The sequence below is a fragment of the Homo sapiens genome, chromosome 7 (genome assembly GCF_000001405.40).
Source record: "Homo sapiens chromosome 7, GRCh38.p14 Primary Assembly".
NCBI lineage: Eukaryota > Metazoa > Chordata > Mammalia > Primates > Hominidae > Homo > Homo sapiens.
Window position 1 is genome coordinate 78,400,060 of NC_000007.14, and position 26,967 is coordinate 78,427,026.

General features: G+C 36.7%; 1 protein-coding gene and 1 long non-coding RNA gene across 16 annotated transcripts in view; both read right to left on the reverse strand.

The window, feature by feature from the left end:
• The window catches only part of MAGI2 (membrane associated guanylate kinase, WW and PDZ domain containing 2), a 1,436,613-nt gene that overhangs the window by 383,005 nt on the left and 1,026,641 nt on the right, over nucleotides 1-26,967 (reverse strand). The window lies entirely within an intron of this gene.
• The window catches only part of LOC124901683 (uncharacterized), a 35,204-nt gene continuing 17,739 nt past the window's right edge, over nucleotides 9,503-26,967 (reverse strand). The window contains exon 2 of the long non-coding RNA XR_007060399.1: nucleotides 9,503-11,635. This is a non-coding gene — a long non-coding RNA (uncharacterized LOC124901683). The remainder of the gene's footprint in view (nucleotides 11,636-26,967) is intronic.

A 26,967-nucleotide genomic window follows, 5' to 3' on the forward strand; every position in this document is an offset into this window, starting at 1 on the left:
TGATTGCATTTGATTTGTGCAGTTTTCTGCCTCACCATTGTTTTTCTGATGACAAAACCTAACCTGTAAATATAAAATGTATGGACCAATACCATCGAGCTTGTTTGGAAACAGTAGGTTCTCTAAGATTCTCCAGAGAAAATCTTTCACTTCTTTTTCTTCTGTTAATAAGGGCAATTAGAAACATAATGGTCCGTTGTGACTGGAGGCTTTCTACTTAAACTCAGCAGCAGCAGAAAACAATGTTTCTAGGTTCCTCTTCCAACAAAAATACTCTATTATCTACTTACTTCAGTCATTTTTAAGTACATTCAGCTCAAATAATCTCTCACAAAATAGATTATAATATATTGTCAATCTTAATTAACTAAAATTAGTTATTTAGTGTACAGATCTGATTTTTAAATCATTTGTTATTGGGACTTGGGAAATGAATGCAGTGAAATTTAAAAAATGTATAATCAGATCTTGTGTTTTTATTCACACAATTTTTTAATAAAAGAAAAAATGGTCTGGAGACAATCAGGTTCATGAAAGTGGTCTAGTTAAATCATTCAGATTATACTAAAATTCTAGGCAATATTTGATGATGAGCAGCGTTAATTCTGAGACAAATTTAGCCTACTAATGACATCCGGGTCCATCATGATATTTTTAGGTTGGAAGTGACATGTGACATCATTATCCACACATGATTGGGAGAAATATTTTTTGGTAGGACGGCTAACTTATTAGCAGTGAATGTTTAAGTAGTTTTCTGGGCATTTCTGGTTCAGGGAAACAAGATTTAAGTTTATGTATATTATTTCCTATGACATCCTGCTGCTTAATATGATGTCAGTCAGTTCTGAGAACCTTATCTTTCTCGCTGTCATAGTCAAATGTAAACCAGGGCATAAGACTAGGGAAAGCCGATTTCCTTTCTCTGTGTATTTACCTCGTAAGTTCTTACATGACAATTCACATGTCAGCTTCTATCTAGAATGGTTTCTTATTTCCATTCCTTTGAAAAAAAAAATAAAATTTTCTAACTCTCAAGAGCCTTAGCTTTGTGAAACCCGAGGGTGCTTTTAGTCCCCTTCGCAAAAGAAACAAAATTCCTGGAGACTGAAAACACCACCAACAACCAAAAAAAAAAATCAGTACTTTTCGGGATGGATCTGTAGCATGAGGAAAACAAAATGGAAGGACAGAAGGATTCCCCAAGCAGTTGGGAATCATCAATACGCACCAGCAACCTTGACCTTGCCACAGGTATTGAGGATTGCAATCTTTCAACCCCTAAGATGAAATCACTTAATATTTTAACTTGCATTTCTTTGGTAATGGCTTGGCTACACATTTTAAAATTACGTTTACTAGACATGTGAATTCTTCTCTCCCTCTGTCTCCTCTCTCTGTCTCTCTCCCCCTCTCTCTCTCATTTTGTTGAACCAACTCTTGTGCCCTGTTAGTGCTCTGTTCTTTTTAGACAGTCTTTTTGTGTAAGTTCTTCTATGCTTTATTCCCGTTACATATATTCAGAAGTTTTGATAGTCTCTTATTTTTATCTTTTTAGATTTCTTGTTTCACTTTTCATTTGAGGAAGACTTTATCCATGTGCTTATAGTTCCTTCTCCTTCTTTTAATGGGTAAAATTTATTATAGAATACATCGACAGCTGTTAGTAATTTATTTTAAATTTTATAGAATTTAAGATAAATAAGTATTTTCTCCTCTTTAAAAATGGAGACAATAATACCTACCACACAGGACTGAGGAAAGTATTTAAACACCTTGTAGGGTGTAAGTGGAGTATGAGTAAGCAGTTACAACATTCTATCCCTTTCTCCCTTCTTCCCTCCTTCCCAGATAACAGGTTAGAAAATGGCTTTTTTTTTCAATGTGTTTCTACTTGTCTTGTTGAGTCCTAAGTCCTATTCAACCTCTAGAGTGCAGAGGTTCCCCTCTTCTATGCCTTTATCTTGCTCCCGATCCTAACAGAATTACTGCCTCTGCTCCCACGGCATGTTCTATTACAAAGATTCTCTTATATTAAAGTTATTTGTTTACATACCTGTCTCCCATTACTATGTATTCCTTGAGAAGTCCAGCACTGTGCTTGACACCTAGGCATATGTGTGTGTGCCCACCTGGGGGGTGTGTGTGTGTGTGTATCCACCTGAGGTGTGTATGTGTGTCTGCCTACCTGGGGGGTGTGTGCGTGTGTGTCCACCTGGGATGTGTATGTGTGTGTGTCCACCTGGGGTGTGTGTGTATCCACCTAGGGTGTGTATGTGTGTGTGTCCACCTGGGGCGTATGTGTGTATCCACCTGGGGTGTGTGTGTGTGTGTGTCCACCTGGGGCATGTATGTTTCCACCTGGGGTATGCATGTGTGTGTGTCCACCTCGGGCGTGTGTGTGTGCATGCACACCCATACATGTGTCAGTCCCATTCTTTCCTCCAATTTATGCATTTGGAATTTTCAACTAATATCATGCTATACAGTCTTATTCCCAATGGTGTTACAAAGTTTATGATAATATTAAGTATTTGCTGTTGCATTTCAGTAGTGGTTGGTTTCTTCCTAGGCTTTTAATGTGTGAAGCTGATGCCAGATAAATCTAAAAACACAGATTAAACTTATAAGTCAACCAACTAATTTTAATTCTTGCTCAAATTAAATAGCAAACTAGTCAATAATTACAAATGAATATTATTAACTTCATGTATTAATAATTGTTAAGCACATTAATAAATTTATTCTCCATATACTTGGATAAGTATATTGGTATACACAACATATGAAAAATTTCATGCAAATATGTAATATATGAGAAAATACCATTAAAGGCAAGTTTTAAAAATATATTGGTATAAATTTAACATATTACTTATCAAATTTGATTTTCTTATTAAGTCTTTTTCTATGACATATTTGTTTTAAACAATCAAATTAACTTTTTTTTTAAAATTATACTTCAAGTCCTGGGATACATGTGCACAACGTGCAGGTTTGTTACATATGTATACACGTGCCGTGTTGGTGTGCTGCACCCATTAACTCGTCATTTACATTAGGTATATCTCCTAATGCTGTCCCTCCTCCCTCCCCCCATCCCATGACAGGCCCCAGTGTGTGATGTTCCCCTTCCTGTGTCCAAGTGTTCTCATTGTTCAATTCCCACCTATGAGTGAGAACATGCGGTGTTTGGTTTTCTGTCCTTGCGATACTTTGCTGAGAATGATTGTTTCCAGCTTCATCCATGTGCCTACAAAGACATGAACTCATCCTTTGTTATGGCTGCATAGTATTCCATGGTGTATATGTGCCACATTTTCCTAATCTAGTCTATCATTGTTGGACATTTGGGTTGGTTCCAAGTCTTTGCTATTGTGAATAGTGCCGCAATAAACATACGTGTGCATGTGTCTTTATAGCAGCATGATTTATAATCCTTTGGGTATATACCCAGTAATTGGATGGCTGGGTCAAATGGTATTTCTAGGTCTAGATCCTTGAGGAATTGCCACACTGTCTTCCACAATGGTTGAACTAGTTTACAGTCCCACCAACAGTGTAAAAGTGTTCCTATTTCTCCACATCCTCTGCAGCACCTGTTGTTTCCTGACTTTTTAATGATTGTCATTCTAACTGGTGTGAGATGGTATCTCATTGTGGTTTTGATTTGCATTTCTCTGATGGCCAGTGATGATGAGCATTTTTTCATGTGTCTGTTGGCTACATAAATGTCTTCTTTTGAGAAGTGTCTGGTCAATCAGGCAGGAGAAAGAAATGAAGGGTATTTAATTAGGAAAAGAGGAAGTCAAATTGTCCCTGTTTGCAGATGACATGATTGTGTATTTAGAAAACCCCATCATCTTAGCCCAAAATCTCCTTAAGCTGATAAGCAACTTCAGCAAAGACTCAGGATACAAAATCAATGTGCAAAAATCACAAGCATTCCTATACACCAATAACAGACAAACAGAGAGCCAAATCATTAGTGAATTCCCATTCACAATTGCTTCAAAGAGAATAAAATACCTAGGAATCCCACTTACAAGGATTCCTTGTAAGGACCTCTTCAAGGAGAACTGCAAACCACTCCTCAATGAAATAAAAGAGGACACAAACAAATAGAAGAACATTCCATGCTCATGGATAGGAAGAATCAATATCGTGAAAATGGCCATAGTGCCCAAGGTAATTTATAGATTCAATGCCATCCCCATCAAGCTACCAATTACTTTCCTCACAGAATTGGAAAAAACTACTTTAGAGTTCATATGGAAGCAAAAATGAGCCTGCATTGCCAAGTCAATCCTAAGCCAAAAGAACAAAGCTGGAGGCATCATGCTACCTGACTTCAAACTATACTACAAGGCAACAGTAACCAAAACAGCGTGGTACTGGTACCAAAACAGACATATAGACCAATGGAACAGAACAGAGCCCTCAGAAATAATACCACATATCTACAACCACCTGATCTTTGACAAACCTGACAAAAAGAAGAAATGGGGAAAGGATTCCCTATTTAATAAATGGTGCTGGGAAAACTGGCTAGCCATATATAGAAAGCTGAAACTGGATCTCTTCCTTATACCTTATACAAAAATTAATTCAAGATGGGTTAAAGACTTAAATGTTAGACCTGAAACCATAAAAATCCTAGAAGAATACCTAGGCAATACCATTCAGGACACAGGCACGGGCAAGGACTTCATGTCTAAAATACCTAAAGCAATGGCAACAAAAACCAAAATTGACAAATGGGATCTAATTAAACTAAAGAGCTTCTGCACAGCAAAAGAAACTACCATCAGAGTGAACAGGCAACCTACAGAATGGGAGAAAATTTTGCAATCTACCCATCTGACAAAGGGCTAATATCCAGAACCTACAAAGAACTTAAACAATTTTACAAGAAAAAAATCAAACAACCCCATCAAGTTAACTCGTTAATGGTTTCTTCCTTTACTGAGGAACTGCAAACAACTGGGGTTCTTTGACTTCTAAGGAACTGCTTCCCACCAACAGCATTTTTTCCTAAAATTTTGGAGAATTTCAGGCAACAAATTTGCATCAGTTTTCTAGAGTGGAATATAGATTCAACTTTTTAATTTATGCAAACTTAGCTTCCTTTTAGGCTAACAAGCACTACTTACATACTATTTCTGTCCTCAAATTTATGTTAGATACTTTCTGAGAAATCTCTGAAATAATTTCATTCTGAAAGAAAATTGTTTTTGGTTCTAACAGTCATTTCAGTGTGGATAAAATCAATGAGTTAGGCACAAACCTTAAAATAGTTATAAGCCAGATTTGAATGATAGTGTCCTGTCTTTTGACCACTTTCTCTATGAAATTAAGTAAGCTTCATTTGATTTTAAATATGCTTTATATTCAGAACTCACCCAAGAATATTTCAAAATATACAAGGTAATTCTAACTCAAAACTATGGAATTTTAGCTGACTCTCTTCAGCTTGTATACTACATGTGTCAAGAGCAGTTACGAAATACTAGAGATACCTAAGCAATTATAGAAAATCTTACAACATTACCTATTAGAGTTTAACCTTAAACATAAAACCTTTTTAGCTTTTTTAAACCAAAAATATTCTTATTTGGAGAAAAACACTATTCATCTTAATACACTTAAAATAATAGACGATGCCTTCACAAACTCATATTTTTACACATTTAAAAAATTCTTAATTGTGAATAAACCTTACACATGGACTTTTTTGCATTTCTATGTTTGACTTGCAAAAGTCTATTAAGCACAATAAATAGACAATTGTCTACAAAAAACAATAAGCCTTTTAAGTTAGTATCTGTACCATGTGCCTAGAAAATATACATTTTTGATAACAAATTACTATAAAATGCAGAGAAATGGGGAGCTGGTGAATAATTTCATAAAACATCAGAATTTAGTTTACAATTGCCTTCAATCAGAGGACCACAGAAAAAGTGCCTGTTTAGTTATTAGCTTATATGTAAAAGTTTGAAAAATAATTATATGTCTAAATGACCTTTGTTGAAAATGACTCGTCATCCTAGAGATTCCAATGTATTAAAAAGACAGTAAATTATAGATATATTAATGAACAAGAAAAAAATTGAGACCCTCCAAATAAGCATTTTAATTCTCATTTACGAGCAAAACAGTCCATGACCTGTCCTCCGTCTTTTCCATGCCTCCAACTCTATTCTAACACAGATGGTAGTAACTTGCTTCAAATAAATAACAGTATTTAAATTTAACCTTTGTAACTAGGAGCTGTATTTCCGACCTTGCTTTGTAAGTTTGGTTGTGTTTGTAAACTTTAAACACTTATACAGGGCATGCATTTTTCCTTTAAAACATGGACAAAAATTAATCACATATTTTCCCCTTTGGACTAACAAAACATAGCACAGTAAAACAAATTGTGATAGAAAAAATATGATTTTAAATGGTTTCTGCCGGCTGATATTTAGTGATTTATGAGTTTCCTATGACATGAAAGATAGAATGTCATTTTCCTTGGAAATTTTGATATTAGCCACCTCATAGATTGCTATAAGTCTGTATTATGATCAGTTAGCATTCCTTGCATTTCCTACATTATCTAAGCTAGGCTTTACAGTCAGCTACCATGATAGATTCATGTTATTATTCTCTCAGGAGAGCCATTTTACCACATGCCAAACACTTTACACAGCTGTAAACTTATTGTAGCTATGGTAAGGATAAAGCTGTGAGCTCTAACATAAACATCTGGAAGAGTGAAAGGGATGTTCAATGTCTATTGACATATAATACTACATAGCTTCCTAAATTCATGACCATGTTGTAATATTCATTGTCACTGTATAAGATTATACACACCATAAACATTTTCTAAGTGTTTCCTTATTGTGCTGTAAATTCATGGACATGCAGCACAAAAAAAGCCCAAAAAATCCTCTTCTGAAGAAGCAGTGATAACATCCTAAATATTCAGATCCAGAAATATGTGTTTTATACATTGATTTTACAAACACACTTTCAGAAGCAATCATTAAGGTAAAAATAAGACTGTGAATATATTTTTGAAGTAAGTCTTCCACAAACTCAATGCAGGTGCAAATTCTTTGCTTATGAGAAAGGAAGGATCCGAAGTCATGCAGTCTTTCTCCTTTAGGGCCAAGTCAGATTTGGGTTCTGTTCACAGGATGCTCTACTCACTGAGTTCAGTTAAATATGCATCTGTCACAGGATAGCGTGCTTAGTGAAAACAGCTGATCGGTGTACATTTTTACCCTATGTTTAACTTTCCATTAGGTCCCTAGACTTTGAAAAATATCAAATAAAAAAAAAGTCACCTTTTGTTAAAAGGTGTTTTTTTATCTTCCCAAATCCAAGTTATGAATAAAAAGTTTTTGAAGCATTTTCTTTTATGGATCTCACAATATTACAGAATCCCCCTCATGTCATGAGGCTAATGGACTCAAAAAGGGAATGATGCTGATCTTCAAAAGCTTTCCAGTGGAGTTGAGTAACGAATTGGTCAAGTTACCAACAAATGGGTTTGGGGTTAACAAGAAATTGATCTATCAAGCTGCTGCAGCTTCTTCTACTTTTTTTTTTTTTTTAAATTCCAACGTATTTACTCAATATTATTGGCTTTAACATCTTTGAAGAGGGATTTGCATATTGACAAAAACACAAGAAAAGTCCATTGCAGCCAACTGAAACAAGTAGGAAGTAAGTCAGGTCAGGGTGTCTCTTACTGAGGTGCCTTTATGTTAATTCTAATCACAGGAGCTTCAGGGCTGGTTTTCCTCTAGGATGCCAGAGATCATTCCTCTAGGATGCCAGAGATCATTTTTGTTACCAGACAGACCCCTCCTCGGAACCTTGTACTTTGTTGCAGGAAATAAGCCAAGAAGCATATTATTTATTGAAGCAGGGGAACCTGACATAGAAGGGATAGTCTAACTTTTCTGCCTTAAAATGCAGACCATTCCAGATATTTCCAGGTAATTTGCAACTCCCTCCCTTCTATGCTTATCATCCAATTTCATACACATTTTCCCTGTCTTCTATTTCTTCTGTAAGAATATTATATTTATTAAAAATATAAAAACAGTATATATTTATCATGTACAAATTGACACTCTGAACTACTGTGCCATTGTGGAGTGGCTAAATCGAGGTGGAATGGCTAAATCAGGCTAATTAACATATGCATATACTTCTCATTTTTTACGGTAAGAACAAAGATCTGTCAGCAATTTTTAAGAATAAAACACATTTATACTTTATCTGTTTCCAAGCAATTATAATATGTTGTAAGCTATCTACTCATTGGTTTCTCTCCTTCACTGTATAGTGAATTGGGGATGGGAGTGAGGGGCAAGGTCCACAGCCTGCAGTTTATCTTTGATACCCAGTACCTGAGAAAAGGAGGGATGGAGAAAGGATGAAAATGGTGCTGGTTAATTAATTAAAGATCTCTTAGAGGCTTACTACAGTACCTACAGGGCACTGCTTCTTAAAAAGTGTAACCTTGGTCAATTAGTAAGCAGAGACCTGTAGGATCCAATTTGGCAGTCTAGCCACATGTGGCTACTGGGCACTTGAAAGGTAGCTGGTTTAAATTGCGATGTGCTGAAAAGTAGAAAATACACATCAAATTTTGAAGATGGAAAGTAAAATACGTAACGCAAAAATTTAAAAATAATTTTATGTTGATTATATATGATAATCTTTTTGAAATGAGTTAAATTAGATGTATTATTAAAATGCATTTCATGTTTCTTTTTACTTTTTCCATTGTAGCAACTAGAATAAATTTGAAATTACATACATAGTTGTAGCTAATGTTGTATTTCTACTGGATAATACTACTACAGACCATCTATGAATTTAACTTACAGTTAGAAGGCATGAGAGTAGAGGATGAGGTTAGAATATCAACAGAGAGACCAAAGACAACAATTATTATTGAGCATCCACTAAGATGGGCACTACCATACACTCTTCTACATTATTTCATTTAATCCTTGTAATGATTTAATTTTCCTGTGGGTTTGCATAGCACCTTTCTATCACAATGCTTTTTCATGATGTATTAAATTTGTCTGTCTATACCTATTTATATTCCCAACTATATTATAGGTATCATGAGGACTAGGACCCTGTGTCTTTTTTTAGGTGTTAAAATCTCAACACACCGCATGATTTCTACAGCGCAGAATGCTCAATACCTTTCTGTTGAATGAATAAATAGATGCCTGAAAGAATGAGCAAGAAATCACTCTCGTTTTATAGATGAGAAAGTGAAGTCCTGTAGAAGTGAAAGAACTTGCCTAAACTCACACAGTAGTGCTTTAAATCCACGCCCAACAGATTCCAAAGCCTGCGCTTTCGCACTGTACTTCAGGGGCATCACAAAAAAGACCAGTCTACTCAAAGCTAAATTAACTTTGAAGAAGTAAGAGGTAGGTTTAGTGAAGAAAATAAAACCATCAAGACTAATCCATTTACTCTTGAACAAAGACCTTTATTACACACATTGCTCCCATCCTTTGGTACATTCTTTTAAAGAGTCAAACAGTTTTTCAAAATCTGTGTTTAAAGTCTCATTTTTGATATTTGTTAAATGACAAGATGAATGACAGAAAGCTATCATAAAAAGAGTAGTGTGGATATAGATGAGACACGCAGATTTAGGTACATGTTTCTTGAAGGAAGCTTTTGCATATGTTCCCAGACCCTGCCCCGACCCGAGTCTCTGGCGCATTCCTAATAAAAGAACTAAATTATTTTGTAAGCTTTACAAATTTGTTATTCAATTAAACTCTTTTTCTGTCATATTAACAGGAAAATAATGTAAAATGTTAACTAGTTTGCTATATTTGATTAGAAAGAGTAGAAAAGAAGAAAAGTTGTGTACTGCGCCCTGCTGTGCTGGGATCCTGAAAGGACCGTCATCAGCTAATGGAACATGGATTCCATGCAAAGAAGGAAAGCTGATGGTCTCAGTCCACGACCCCCGGGAAAGCTAAAAGAATAGTAAGGGGAGCCATGGGTGCTTCCACTTTGTGCTCTCACATCATGTTGCTTCCACCATTTGAAAACTAAAAGATTTGTTAAAATGTGTGATACAGGCATAAGTAAAATAGGTATTGAAATATAGGAAATAGTTGGCGAAGACTTTACAGAATAAGCGGGATTAAAACTCGACCCTGCTATAAATAATCTGCTGTTATAACTATAGTAAAGTTATGAATATAAAAATAACATTTTACATCTGCAATGCAAAGTCACCAGAATGAATGTCTTGATTCTCTACGACACAGCTTACATTTGTCAACATGTCTTTCTCCCTTCTTAGATTAAATGATCCTAGAAGGCCAGGGTTGTGTTTCAATCATCTTTGTTTCCATGGCAGCATTTCTCATTGCCCCCTTTTCCAGGATGTGGATTCTAAATACTTTGGCTTTAAAAAAATTAGTCTCAGTAACTATGGATACTCTTCCATTTGATTTCCACCACCTGCCTGGTATACAGTTGATGCTCAGTACATAGTTGATGAAGAAATAAATCCATAATAATTAAATGATGGATGATGGATACATTAATTGCCCTTCTTTAAAATACACAGGATGCAAAGCTCAGGGAGAAAAAGAGTAAGATGGGAAAGGAATCACTACCTGGGGGAAAAAAAAGCAAGTGAAGAATTATGGCAGATTCTGTGGGAAAGAAGACCATGAAAGATGATGACTAGACAGTAGTCAGTCAAAAGATCAAAGATAATAAAAATCAAAAAGGGAATATAATATATATAAACCTTCATAATTGCTCGGGAGCTAATTTATAAATATAAGCATAAACAATGTATTGTCATTAGCATATTGGGATAATTAAAGATGTTATCGTTGATGGTCAGTAACATGCCATCAACAATGATAAAAGCTTAATATTGAACAAATAAAATATCCAGAAAAAAATAGCCTCAGAGAACTATACATTATTGTTACAAAATAGCATGTTACTTAAGCATTTCAGTAAAGAGAATTTGGCCATTGACTCACAGGAGACTGAATTTGTTTTTCTTTTAAGTATTAAAGAAATGAGCCCTATGTAGCAGCCTCATTTTCAAAGCCAGTCAAGGGAGGGTTGAGTGATATTATCTAGAATTTGGCATAACACAACTTCACAACACAGCATTTCACTTTACATTATGCAGTAAGATAGCATCTCGTACTGTATAAATTGAATTCAGTTTCAGAAGATATAACCTGGTGAACCTGGGTTATTGAACTGAGATTTCTTACTTTATCTTTGAATTTTCCAGCGTTAAAAAACATGGCATCATCAAATGCAAGAATAAACTTTTCTTAATACTTAGAATGGTTGTCGTATACCAACAATAAAATGATACACATGTTATAGCTAAAGTTTGACAGTAGGCTAATAACTAATACTGGCAGACTGACCAACTAGAATTCACTCTGTCATAAGCTCAAGAAAAAACAAACCAGTTAAAATGAAGGCATTTTTTTGGTAAGCATTCTCAGACGAAAGTGATAATTTATCACTTAGGGTCATTTCTTGCGTTGGGTTTGTGTGGAACAACCAATAGTCTTCATATTTTCCTGTGGAGCTTTAGCTGAAATATAAATTAGAACATGGATAAGTTTAAGTATCTTTTGGCCCTTTAATAGCCTTGGGATGGAAATAGTTCTTAAGGTACTATGCATAAAGCTTTTTGTGTACACTTATGCATATCAAACCCTGATTCTTGACTTCATTTAAATGAATAAGGAGAAAGGAACTAATATTCCAAGTAAGACTAGATATTACCATTTTGGACATTATAATGATTTTACTGGGCTGCAAATCAACATTACATTTTTTAAATGACGGTATAAATTTTGGTCCTAAGGCTTTGGCAATTTAAAACTGTTTTCTTTATTGTAATAAAATCTTACATTAAGTGGAGATAGGTAATTGTTAAGTGCAACTTTAAGGCATTGTAAGAGAATAATATGTTTATCGCTTTCAAGTCTATAAAATTATTGCAACTAACCAAGTGTTATCTAAGGAGATTCCTCTTCCAATGCATTGATAAAACTCTATAATCAATGAAAAGAGTCATTTCAGTATTCCTTGAACAATCGATCCTCTAAGAAGGGTTATGAGTTAGCTTTGGCACTAGGTGCAGGAGCTGTAAGAGCAAATAAGAGCCAGCAGGTTCTCCTTGAGTAGATTCACAGCCTGTGGTCAAAGGGGAAGCAGTAGACAGACAGGCAAACAGCCATCTCTAATGAAGTTGGCATAAATGATCACGGTGCTTGAGGAATTACATGAGGAAGGGATTCCTTTTGCCTGGGGCACTCCAGAGTCTTCACAGAGGAGGTAATGGGTGACATCTGAGCTGTGCTATGCAGAATGAGCTGGAGTTTAGATGTTAGAAAGGAAGGATAAAGTAACAAGTAATGAAATTTAAAATAAAGGAAACAACATGACCAGCATTAGCGGGGTGTGAAATGTTACTCTGGGAAATGGCAAAGAGTTGGATGGAACTAGGGCAGGTTCTAGTCACTGTTTCTCTCACTGGGTTGAGAGAAAAGGGCAGTAACAGAAGATGAAATTGCAACATTAGGTTAGGCAACCATCCAAGTTGTGTATGTACAAAAGAGCACTTCCAAAATATTTGAGAACAGTTTGTTACCTGAGGGAGAAAATACTGTTTTCAAGCTTTTAAACCTAAATTGTTTTATAAGACCTCCTATTTGGAGAAATATCACAAATGTGAACTGCAGCCGTATGTTTCTCTTGATGATTTATAAATTTCCAATTTTTGAAGCCTAAAATATAAACATATGAATGCTTCCGAAAGGTGGCTAACCACCATCTCTACTCTCTGTCTTCCTTCAGAGACTGAAAGCCTTCTCAACAAATGGGAACCTTTTAATATTTCAATAATTTTATTCTGCAGGCAGAGGGAGACAGGGTTTAAAGGAAAAGTCACTGTTATCTGAAGTCAGGTGCCAGGTAGCTGTGTGACTTTGACAAAACCAGTTTTCTTCTTTGGGTCTTAGTTCCCTCACCCGTAAAATGAGAAAAGTTGTATTAGATAGTCTTTTAAGGTTCTTCTCTTTCTAGGTTTTGCACTTAGACATTTTAGGACTCTGATCTGTGTAAAGACCAATTTATATGTCCAAACAAATGACACTGGCCTTATATGTAATTCGGGTCAGCTGAATTTGACAAAAGATTCAATCCATTAGTGGAAGAAAATGGTGTCTGAAATTATCCATATTCATTTATATTTCACAAGTATACAGATTTGCATTTAGAACATGATGAGAAATGGCAATTAAATTATCACAACATTAGAGGAACATTAGAGGTTTGGGTGAAGTAGAATGGAAGAACAGGAGAGTAAGTTCAGCTCTGCATATATTAACATTAAGATCCCATTAGTGGAAATGCCTAATAAACAGTTGGAAGTGTGATTCTGAAGCTCAAAAATATTTTACTCTGGAAACAAATTTGGGAGTCATTCTACAAGGGGTTACTGAGGCAATGGGAGTGAATGAGGAGATCTTGGGGAAAATGTGCAGTTTTGAAAGAGAAGGCAAGGGAGAAGAAAAAGAAGATGAGAGGTAGGAAAAACCAGAAGAGAATGTGCCGGGAGGCTCTTGGGCAATGGTATTGGACATGGGGTCAATCCTGTCACATGCTACACACGGGCCAAGGAAGAGAAGGAATTTTTGGATGTTGCAATTCCAGAAGACGAAAGAAAATCTCCTATAACTGTTTCAGTGGAAAATGGGAAAACAAGATTGCAGAAGGCTGGGGACTTATTTTAATTTTTACTCAGAATCCATGTTGTATTTAGACATAATGAAGGATTGTCTGGCTATTATAAATAGTAAATTCATAATGGCAGATTTTTAAGTTAATGGGAACATATTCCAGCCATCACAGATTTTTAGTAAAAAGCTACATAAATAATAGCAAAATATTAACCAGAGGTGCAAATTTGAGCATCTGTTCCCTCAGTGTTTTACTTCTGAAGGCAGTTGATGTATGGAAATATTTATGTCCAAGAGTATTCACTGAAGCATCATTTTAGTAAGTTGGCAACGACATAAATGCCCGTAAATAAGGGAAAGGTTAGATTGAATATGATAAAATATGAATGACATTGCACGAAATATTTAGTGGCATGGGGAAAAGAATAAGGTATAATATAGAAATATTTATTATTTTATAAAAAGAAAAGCAGAATATCAGACAGAATATCCAGAATTGACTAATTTTGTTTAACAAAAACATGAAAAAATACATATACAGAGAAAAGACTGGAAGGAAATGCACTAAATATAAGGGTAGTTGCTCTGAATAGTAATATTGTTGTTGGGCTTTATTTTATTCTTTGTACTTTATTTTTAAATTTCATATAAATATATATTATGCTTATTAGTAGGACAAAATTCAATAACTCCTAATTTTAAAAGACCAAGAGAGGGGACAATAGAAATAAAACATTAGATTTTTTTTTCCTTAACACACACATGCTGTTGTACACATACATGAGCGTGCACATGTGTGCATACACACACACACCCCTGCCCCCCTTCTTTTAGCTTAGAAGAGGTAGAAATATACTCTATTTGCTGGTATGGAAATGGGGCAGACCCAGCCCTATGCCTCCTGGGTTTGGTGAAAAAGTGACTTCAGAGCAAAAATAGGCTTGACAACTGTTTAAAACTAACCTTGTTTAAATATGCTTTTAATAGTACTCAAATGGAAAATACATGAAATAGGTAAATACTAGGAGTTGGTAAAATCTCTCTTCAGAAATTCCAACTGATAATTATTTCAGACATTTAAATAATGAGTTTTCAGTGATTCTATTATCTAAAAACTGTGTGCCCTGATTTAACCTAAGTGAGACAAGGATGGAGCTATACAATAATAGATTTCATAAAAAGGTCCAACTTAGCAAGTCATGAAACTACCTATCAGTCTTTCAAAAATTTCTTAATGCCTTTATTCATACACATCCAAGAATTATTTTAAGGTTTCATTTAAAGCCTGTGCCTTACCTTCCTTTATGTTCAGCTCATGATAAACAGGAATAAGATTAAGTTATATCTTCATAATTAATTGATTTGGTACTAAGCAGGAAATCTCAAGACCTATAGAGTTGTATAAATTCTCATTGACCTTAATTACATCTAAATGAGCTACGCTGCACTGCTGTGTAGAGCACTGAGGTGGAGAGAAGGCATCAAAATAGGACAGTCTCCAAAATTGGGTAGTGTATTCCAAAAGGTTTATAAAAAAGACAAAAATGAAATAAAGACATTATCCTAACTCTGAATACATAATATACTAAATAGAGAGATTTTAAGAACAATTCTGTCTATCTGTATGTATACACAAAATGCCTTTACATAATGCCCCCAGGTCAAAATAATAAGTCTAGGTTGATGGAAGGGAAATATTATATAATTTAGTATGAAATATATTTTCTCTGCTCCCATTTTCTGATCTGAAGGTATCAAGTGGAAAGAGGCATTTCTGGCAAGTGTCTCAAGCCATCCCCAAGCACCACCAGGCACCATTCAGAAGACATCCTCAGCTTCACACAGAAGAGCAAGTAGATTTGTCAGCAGTGGTGGTAATAGAGTAGATGGGGTTGGAGCCTATGAAGAAGTGGCGTCTTTTAAATGTCTGTAAGCAGATATTCTGTCAGACCTTGAACATGAACCACAGTTACTTTAAAAATGATCAAGTGAATTTTAAATGCTGTTAGATTTAATATTTCAACATTTCATCTTTGCAGCTGGGACACAATCCAATCCTTTGTATGATGATGAGGCATTATAGTTCCAAGATGGATAGAAATTTCTGGGAGGCAAATCTATTGGTGGAAGTGGGTGGGGTGACTCCCAGTTCCAGGGAGCAGAATGGAGAAGAATGGACTGTACAGGTTGGGTAAAAGTGAGCATGGATTTCGGCTGCCTGAGGCATGAACTGGCCAATGTGTGGTGACAGCGAAGGTCTGAAGCAACAACATCAAGGGAGTTGCTGACAAGGTATAACATGGTCTGAAATGAAGTGAATATGTTGGAACAATGAAGATTAGCTAGTGGAATTCCAAAGGAGGGATGCAAATGATTCCTACAGACAATGGTATGATGAGAGGCAGGTGCCATAGGATAGGTGAGTTAGGCAGTGATATGGCAAGCTAGGGCTGAGATAAAAAATGCAGAAGGTATTTATGATGAAAGAGGAAATTGGTTTAGGTTTACATACTAAATAGGTACAATTTATGTTACATACATGATTGGAAAATAAATATTGAAACTTAATTTAATAAAATGTGTTAGCACTATATAAATTATTCATATGAAATGATTGTATTCCAGGGCCTATTACAGTCAAGTAAAATGTTTTATTCTCTGTAGGTTTCTTAAGTTATAGTAATTATAGTTCATGATGTTAAGTTCTAAAACACTTTTTTGCCTCCTAAATAATTTTAAACTTGTAAGAATCAAATGAAGTATAGTTGTAAACCATTGAATGTCTGTGTCCCTCCAAAATCCATGTGGAATCTTAATCCCCATTAAGAGGTTGGGGCCTTTTGGGAAGTGATTAAGTCATAAAGCCTCCACCTTTGTGAATGGAATACATGTGTTATAAAAGAGGCTTTGTAGAGCTGTCTGACTCTTTCATCTCTCCTGCCATGTGAGGTCACAGTATATGTCCCTTTTCCCCTTTATGCCAGGTGAGGACATAGAAGGTGTGATTGATAAGAAACAGGCCTTCACCAGACACTGAATCTGCTGGCACCTTGATCTTGGACTTCACAGCCCCTAGAACTGTGAGAAATAAATTTCTGCTGCTTAAAAACCACATAGTCTGAGAATTTTGTTATAATAGCATGAATGGACTAAGACAAGTGGTCACTGAAAGCCTCCAAATATATCCTCACTTTTCTTGCAAATAAAGGATAAAATCCTAATAAAAGAAGATAACAAGATCAGGAAGTATAAATCCATTCTCTACTATTTCTGGTAAGTAACTAAATAAAGCTGCTTTGAGGAAGGGCCAGAGTGAAGATTTTGCTATCTATCATCTAATTTCTTGAATTACATATAACTGAAAGACTGTTATTTTATTTTGAAGCAAATTAAATAAAGACTCCTGAAGTGACCCATTCTTGCTACTGACAATCCATAAAATAAAACCATTTTCTAAAAAAAAAAAAATATTCATTGCCTCTGCTCTGAGCTGTTCACTCATGATTGACGGGTGTGTGGGAGGCCGGGGGGAAGGAATTCACATTCACAGATCTCTCTGATAGCCTTCCCTGAGCTGCCTTTATCCCTGTCACCAAAAGTTTATCAATCACTCCCTCGTTAGTGCCACATCTACAATCTTTTACTTAGTAACTATAATACTTAATATTCTACAATATACTATTTATTTTCATGTTTGTTTCCTATCCAAGACCATGAGTTATTTGAGAGCAAAAACTAAATCTTATTCATCCAATGTTTCCAACCTACTGCACAATACCTAGTACATGAAAAGTGTGCTTAATAAGTGCTGAGTCATTTACATGTATTATTTTGTTGAAACAATTATCCTGGGGGACAGATATTACTGTGCTTATTTTAATGATTAAGAAATAGGATTCAATAGGTTGGATAAATTGTCTACAGCCACACGGACTTCAGTGGTAGAGTTTAGATTCAACACTTTCACATTTTACCCATTCTAAGGTGAATTTTTCTTTTCATACTTAAAAAGCTCTGAAATTAGGATGTGTCCCCATTGATGGCAAGTTTCAATCACCATCTTTCAGGTAACAGTTGTGATGTGGTTCTCATTTTTGTGTATTTGAGGACCTGGTCATGGCTCTCCACATTGTTTTCACTCCATTTGAGTTAAGGGTATACTTGGAGTTGCACCTGATTGAGCTTAACTGTTGTTTATCATGTCTGCCAAGGGAGAATTGCTTGAGCCCAGGAGTCTGGGGTTGCAGTGAGCTATCATTGTGCCACTGCATTCCAGTCTGGGCGACAGAGTGAGAGCTCATCTCTAAAAATGCAGAAAAATATGGCAACAGAAAAGCAGAACATAACTGGATATTCGTGAAACAAATATTCACTATTGGAAGAATGGCTGAAATTGTGTATTTTCTTGCTAAGCAATAACCATATGCATTTAGAACCTATCAAAGGAACATATACCCACAAATAGATAAGGCTGTGTTAACATTTTTTTGAGATCAGTTTGCAGGATACAAGGGCACTAGAAGGCAGGAAAGGTGAACATAGCAGGAAAACTCAGGGCATTGATGCTCTCAGCTGAAAGGAGAACAGTGGTAAGGGAGAACTACCAGCACAATTCAACAGAATCTTCTATGATGATGGAAATGCTATATAATCTATACTGTCCAATACAGTAGCTGCTAGCACATGTGGCTATTGAGCATGTGAAATATGGCCAGTGCAAATGAGAAAATGAATTTTAATTTCATTTTGGTTAACTTAAATGTAAATAGCCACATGTGCCTAGCAGCTGCTCTTTTGGACAGTACAGAACTAGATAGTGCTATGAAAACCAATCTCCTTCTTTAGGGAAGCTGATGATTACTGTTTGATGGCAAAGTCAGTTTCAGTCTCATCTGAAAAGGGCAAATATAGCCATTTCACAATGCTGTAGGGGGTTAATGAGATGCTATATGGAATGTGCTTAACATAAAGCCTCGTACATAGTAAATGAGAAGAAATGAAGGTAGTAGTAATAGTGAATATAGGAATAGTAATAGTTGTGATAAATATATTATTTTTGTCTTTGCTGACAAACAGCAATAAGGTCTGAATATTGCAATAAGGAGGAGGTCAGCAAGAAATTGCCCCTGCCAAAATGATAATAAATTGCCTGGAAATTAGGAAGTTCATTATAGACAGTTAGGCTATACATAAACTCAGTAAATATTGATCAACCTGAAAATTTCAGAAGGTGAATTACTGCATATGCAATGTTTCCAGGTATGTTTCTGCATTTTAAAAAATCCAAGTTCTAGTGTCTTGGCCCCTCATCTAATTCTTAAAAGAATTCCAGATTAGTCCTAGCATACTATAGTTCTCATAAGGATAGGATCTTTTTCACAAACTACAAAGAGGGGTATTTTGTTTGCCAAGAGGAACCTTGGACAAATACTAATAAGAAAGGATGTCCCTGCTGAGCTCATACTAAGGGCAAGCCTGCGTTTTATAACTGGTGTGTAGCCCTTCAGAGAATTTACCGGCCTATGTTAATTAGTTAATATGCACCGAGCTTGTGTGTGTGTGTGTAAGGAGACACAGGACTAATAAGGACAATGAAGACTGGGATGGGGTAACATCATAGCAACTCTACCCACCCAAATCTTTGATCAAGTTTAAAGAAACTAGGGAGAAATGAGTTAAGAAGAGAAGCTGAAAGAGCTGATTTGAGGAAAGATATCATTCCCTGAGACTGAGTCTGGGATTGAGCAGTGATTTTTTTTTTTTTTTTTTTTTAAGGGAAAGGGCCCAAGAGAGCTAAGCATTTTTTCAACCTTTGCAGAGAATCCAAGGCCACTTAAACATCTGGAAAACTGGCAGCCTTGGGATCAGTGAAAGGTAGCACCTTAAGCATATACGTTAGCAGTTTGATGTATACTATCAGAAAGGGCTGTGGTGAGGCTGCCTCAAGTAGAGGACATGGATAATGGGACACTCAAGTAGCACAGGAAGAACTGAGTTGAACTTGCTTGGAGAGTAGCATTGAAGAACCACCCTGTTTATAGCATCCCAGAAACACTTGTTGGGGGTTGAGGTCCTCCTGATCAGATGAGTTCAGTGTAAGCAGGCATTAAAGTGACCTAATTTGTCCTCACAGGATAGTAATGCCAGAGGACATTGGGGTACACTAGCTGTTTTGTTACTTTGGAGTTCCTGTTATTATTCAAACCTTTTTGAGTTTCTATAGTTGTATGCCACAACGATTTAGGGTGGAGTTAGTCCAGGGTAGCATTGGCACCAATAAAGGGCTGTTTGTTGAAAGCCTGCTCATCATTTGCCTTTTTATTGCTACCAGAACAACAGCAACTAGAATCACTAAATCTAACACTTGAATAAAGGCTCTTCAGAGGGCTTAACAGTGGCAATTACCAAACAGTCCACACCAACTGTTCTTGGCAGGAAGTGAAGAACAAGAAGTAAAGAATTACTCCATGAAGTGAAAAATTTGGGAAGTGCTTCAAATAGAAAATATGTAAATTGACAAAATGGGAGGACCATCAGCACAAACAACTGTTCTCTTGAGAAATAAAAATCCAATAAAGTTTAAGAATATACCCAGCCTCTTTCAGGAGCTCTCTATTCAAAATGAAACCTTAAACTACACTGGAAGATAAACTGCATGCTTATCTGCATTGTTTGACTCAACCTACAATGGTTGAAATGAGATTTTTTTTTTTTTGCCTTTTCTGACAAAGGTCATATTGATGGAAAATCCTATTTCATTGACACTTTCCAATTCTCTGGAAATGGTCAGTTATCATAACATAAGGATAGACAGAGGGACATTGATTTCCTTCCATCCCTTTAATTTAATGTTTCAGTTCTGATGATCACTATGCCAAAATTTTACCTAGCAGTACTGCCCATATCCTGGCCATATCATTTAATTAACAAAACTGAAATACTTAGCTTGGCCATGTAATTTGAGTAACCAAAATGAGAAATGATTGTAAACCGTATTGAGCAAAGTTCTTGAAATGAATTATTTTTGCATGATGACTTTGAGGAATAAAAAGGATTAGAAAAGAGAAAGAAAGGAATAAAGTTCGAGTTGCACAGGTCAGAGGTAACGGATCAAAAGGTAAGGAGTACATAAAGTGTTCCAAGTTGACAAATTGGACATAAATAAATCACTAGGACCAGATGGCATTCATCCAAGAGTTTTGAACGGACTCAAGGATGAAATTGTGGAGCTGTTGGCCAAATGTGGAAACTGTTGTTGCAAACAATCACCTTGTCAGAGTACTGGGAGATTGCTGATGGGATTCCCATCTGTAAGAAGGACTCTAGAGAAAACCCTAGGAACAAGATATAGATCAGCAAGACTGGCTTTCCTGGCATAAAAAGATGAAAAGAATAAAAAAACAGGGTCAGTGCCACTGAACACCTTTATGTAACTCACTTACTGGGGTAAAAGCTGCATAGTTTGGGTAAGAAGAAATCATACAACCACTATGGCCTTGTTGAGTTCTCTGAGGTGGTTAACAATTATTGTGTGGCCAAATTGTAGACATAATTTACTTTTCCTTTTAAGGGACTTTGAAAAGATTTACTTAAAATGGCTACTGAACAAAATATAACTGAGTTAGCATGAGATTATTTTCGTCACATATAAAAAAATAACAATGATAGACAACACAGAATTTGGTCGGGCATGCTGGCTCACGCCTATAATCCCAGCACTTTGGGAGGCTAGGCAGGAGGATCACTTGATCCCAGGAGTTCAAGATCAGCCTGGGAAACATGGTGAGACCCCATATCTACCAAATAAAAAAATTAGTGGTGGTGAACACCTGTAGTCCCAGATACTCAGGAGGCTGAGGTGGGAGGATTGATTGAGGCTGGGAGATTGAGGCTGCAGTGGGCCGTGATAGTGCCACTGCACTCCAGCCTGGGTGATCAAGTGAGACCCTGGTCTCAAAACAACAAAAACATAAACAAAAACATCACAGAGGTCATAAGGAACATTTTCCTTGGTGTAACCTATAGGAGTTGTGAGACAGTCTTATATTCATAAATGGATTTGTGTGGAAATTTTAAATTTATATATCCTCCTAATTTCTAGCCAGCAAGGATATATCAATACAAAATACTGAAAGTGGGAAATTTCAAAAGGATATTTGAATGGGAAGAAATATGTTGGGCCAATTTCAATGTGTATTTCAAAACTACACTTACAACTTGCCTCTCAAGCAGGTCCTGGTAGTCATTGTAGTTTAAAGCTCTAACAGAACTGAGGATGCCATTAGGGAGAATGCCTTAAACAAATCAGGAGCAGCTGCAGGGCACAGGGCTTTGCATGCAGAATGGAGCAGGGATGAACTCACACAGAGTGCCTATACCTTATGCCAGCTGCGGTACATGCGTATTCTCATTTGTCACACTGATTGTAAAGTAGATGATATTATAAAACTTTGGATCCTATAATTAGCAATACTGTATTGTACACTTAAAATTGTAATGTTAATAGATCTCAGGTGAACTGATCTTACAATAATTAAAAAAGGCAATAGACCTGATGTTTTAGAAAATATATATTTCTACAAAACAGGCAAACACTTGTTATAAGTGTTTTTCATGACAACATAAATCTTGCCTGAGTTTCTTTTTACACATATCAATTGACTTCATTATTTTCTCTCTCCTTAGGATAATTTTCTATTATTTCTAGAAGGTGAATGTAATGTGTAAAGGCAAAAAAAAAAAAAAAATCTACTCCTGTGACTGACATGCATTTTCTTCTGTTGCAGATATAAGAGAATAAAGTGAAGAGAAAGGAACTTTCTCAAAGTTGTATTGCTTAGAGGGAGTAGAAATAAGATTAAAAACCAATGTCAGTTTGACACTAAATTCTGCGCTCTTGAAAGGTGGTCATTAATGTCTAATTATTTGATTTAAATTTATTCCCATTAAAAAACCTAGTCTTGCACAAAACAGACTCCCGCTTTTCTGATAGTATTGTTCCAGCTGTTACTACTCAGTCATCTTAGTCTCATGCTTTTTGCTCTCCCAAAGAATCATTAACCATTTCCATGTTAAGCTTCCTTTAGGTCAATTCTGAGAGCTGAAAAAGTAAATAGGTTCAACAAAGATATAAACAATTAGTTTTCCACCTATTGTTATTATTTATCAAAATAAATTAAAAGAAACATTTTTGTTCTGTTTTGAATCAGAATGGAATTTCAGAAAATGTTCACGATATGGTGTGGCTGCATCTCCACCCAAATCTCATCTTGTATTGTAACTCCTACAATTCCCATGTATTATGGGAGGAATTTGGTGGGAGGTGATTGAATTATGGAGGCAGATCTTTCCTGTGATCTTCTCGTGATAGCGAATGAGCCTCACGAGATCTGATGGTTTTAAAAAATGGGAGTTTTCCTGCACAAGCTCTCTCTTTGCCTGACGCCATCTCCGTAAGATGTGACTTGCTCCTCCTTGCCTTCCACCATGATTGTGAGGCTTCCCCAGCCATGTGGAACTGTAAGTCCAATTAAACCTCTTTCTTTTGTAAATTGCCCAGTCTCAGGAATGATTTCTTAAAGTCTTTATCAGCAGCATGAAAACAGACTAATACAGTAAATTGGTACTGAGGTTGGGGTATGGCTGAAAAGATACCTGAAAATGTGGAAGCAACTTTGGAATTGGATAACAGGCAGAGGTTGGAACAGTTTGGAGGACTCAGAAGAAGATAGGAAAACGTGGGAAAGTTTGGAACTTCCTAGAGACTTGTTGAATGGCTTTGACCAAAAGCCTGATAATGACAGGGACAATAAGGTCCAGGCTGAGGTGGTCTCAGATAGAGATGAGGAACTTGTTGGGAACTGGAGAGTAAAGATGACTCTTGTTATGTTTTACCAAAGAGACTGCCGGCATTTTGGCCCTGCCCTAGAGATTTGTGGAGCCTTGAAGTTGAGAGAGATGATTTAGGATATCTGGCAGAAGAAGTTTCTAAGCAGCAAAGCATTCAAGAGGTGACTTGGATGCTGTTAAAAACATTCAGTTTTATAAGGGAAGCAGAGCATAAAGGTTCAGAAAATTTGCAGCCTGACAATGTAATAGAAAAGAAAAACCCATTTTCTGAGGCGAAATTGAAGCCAGCTGCAGAAATTTGCACAAATAACAAGGAGCTGAATGTTAATCCCCAAGACAATGGGGAAAATGTCTCCAGGGCATGTCAGAGGTCTTCATGGCAGCCCCTCCCATCACAGGTCTGGAGGCCTAGGAGAAAATGGTTTTGTGGGCCAGGCCAAGGGTCCCCCTGCTGTGTGCAGTCTACAGACTTGGTGCCCTGTGTCCCAGCCACTCCAGCCATGACTAAAAGGGGCCAACGTACAGCTCAGGCTGTTGCCTCAGAGGATGGAAGCCCCAAACCTTGGCCGCTTCCATGTGGCATTGAGCCTGCAGGTGCACAGAAGTCAAGAATTGAGGTTTGGGAACCTCTGCTGCCTATATTTCAGAAGATATATGGAAATGCCTGGATGCCCAGGTAGAAGTTTGCTGCAGGGGTGGGGCCTTCATGGAGAACCTCTGCTAGGGCAATGCAGAAGGGAAATATGGGGTTGGAGTCCCCTGCACAGAGTCCTTACTGGGGCACCTCCTAGTGGAGCAGTGAAAAAAGGGTCACCATCCTCCAGACCCCAGAATGGTAGATTCATGAAAACTTGCACCGTGTGCCTGGAAAAGTTGCAGACACTCAACACCAGCCCATTAAAGCAGCCAGGAGGGAGGCTGTACCCTGCAAAGCCATAGGGGTGGAGCTGCCCAAGACCGTGGGAACCCACCTCTTGTATCAGCATGACCTGGAATGTGAGACATGGAGTCAAAGGAAATCATTTTGGAGCTTTAAGATTTGACTACCCTGCTGGAATTTGGACTTGCATGGGGTCTGTAGCCCCTTTGTTTTGTCCAATTTCTCCCATTTGGAATGGCTGAATTTACCCAATGCCTGCACCCCCACTGTATCTAGGAAGTAACTAACTTGCTTTTGATGTTATAGGCTTATAGACAGAAGGGACTTGTCTTGTTTAAGATGAGACTTTGGACTATGGACTTTTGAGTTAACGTTGAGATGAGTTAAGACTTTAGGGGACTGTTGAGAAGGGATGATTGGTTTTGAAATGTGAGGACATGAGATTTGGGAGGGGCCAGGGACAGGATGATATGGTTTGTCTTTGTCCCCACCCAAATCTCATCTTGAATTGTAACTCCCACAATTCCTACATGTCTTGGGAAGAACTTGGTTAGAGGTGATTGAATTATGGGGGCGGGTCTTTCCTGTGCTGTTCTCATAATGATGAATGAGTCTCATGAGATCTGATGGTTTTAAAAAGTGGGAGTTTGCCTGCACAAGCTCTCTCTTTGCCTGATGCCATTCATGTAAGATATGACTTGCTCCTTCTTGCCTTCCACCGTGATTGTGAGGCTTCCTCAGCCACGTGGAACTGTAAGTCCAATTAAACCTCTTTCTTTTGTCAATTGCCCAGTCTTGGGTGTGTCTTTATCAGCAGCATGAAAACAGACTAATACAGTTCAGTTCAAATGGAAAGATATGGAAATGTAGGCATAGGGAAAATGTGTTTACTTGAGGTCACAGAGATTATACATGGTAGAGTTGGAAATGGTAGGAGGAGCTAGACATCTGTATGTGCTCACTATTGGTCCTTTTCTAAAGATTGGTCTGCTGATATATAGGGTGAGACTGTGTAAGGCCTAGAAGAGATCAGTTGCTACAGAGATAAGAGATGAATAGTGAAACCAAAGTCTGTATAGTGCTAGAAGATTTTGTAGTCCTTGCTCAGTCAGAATGGAGAAACCTCACAAACTTTCTTGGGCAATAAAGGCATCTGAGATGTCAGAAAGGCCACAGCTTAGAAATAAGAATGATTCCTTAAAGTAAGAGGCATATCATTGGGTTAAGTTCAAAGTCAAAATATACTGCCCTAGCAAATAAATTATTCCAAATCTGACAGGGTCAATAATCTGCTAGTAATTTAACTCCCTGCCAGAACAAACTGAGCACTCTTTAAAGAAAAATAATACAATAATTCACAGTATAATAAAAAAAATTGGAAAACAATACCAAAATTGTGACCTGTAGTTAAGAGAAAAATCAGTCAACAGACATTAACCCCAAAATGATTATAAGTTAGAATGAGCAGATGAGGACTTTAAAGTAGCTTGACTACATTAAGGAAAGTATGACCATAATGAATGAACAAATGAGGAATCACAGAAGAGCAACAGAAGTTGTAAAAAGGAACAAATGTAATTCAGAACTAAAAATTATAATATTCAAAATGAAAAATTCATGAAATTGCATTAGGTTGAAGATAGAATAAAAAGGGCCAATGAATGTATAGACAAATCAATAGGAAGCATCCTATTTCAATTACAGAGAGAAAAACAAATGTCCTTTGTAGGGACATGGATGAAATCGGAAATTATCATTCTCAGTAAACTATCGCAAGAACAAAAAACCAAACACCGCATATTCTCACTCATAGGTGGGAACTGAACAATGGAACACATGGACACAGGAAGGGGAACATCACACTCTGGGGACTGTTGTGGGGTGGGGGGAGCGCGGAGGGATAGCATTGGGAGATATACCTAATGCTAGATGACGAGTTAGTGGGTGCAGCGCACCAGCATGGCACATGTATACATATGTAACTAACCTGCACATTGTGCACATGTACCCTAAAACTTAAAGTATAATAATAATAAATAAATTAATTAAAAAAAAAGAAATGAACAGAGCTTCAATAATCTGTGAGAAAATATCAAGCAGTCTACCACATATGTAATTGAAATTCCTGAAGGTGAGGAGAGAATGTTCCTAAACAATCCAAATTTGGTGAAAAACATACTTAAGAGATTCAAAAGTTCATTGGATCCCAGGCAGGATTAATATAAAGAAAATCTAACCTAGGCACATGATGATTAAACTAGTGAAAAGCAAATACAAGGAGAAATTTTGAAAGCAGCCAGAGAAAAGCAACATATTACGTACAAATAAAAACAGACAAATAATGGAGTTTATATGTACGCACGTGTAATACATATGACAACAGTAGCACAAAAGACATGTGGGTGGCAAGTAGAACTCTACTGTTTCAATGCTCTAACATTTTACATG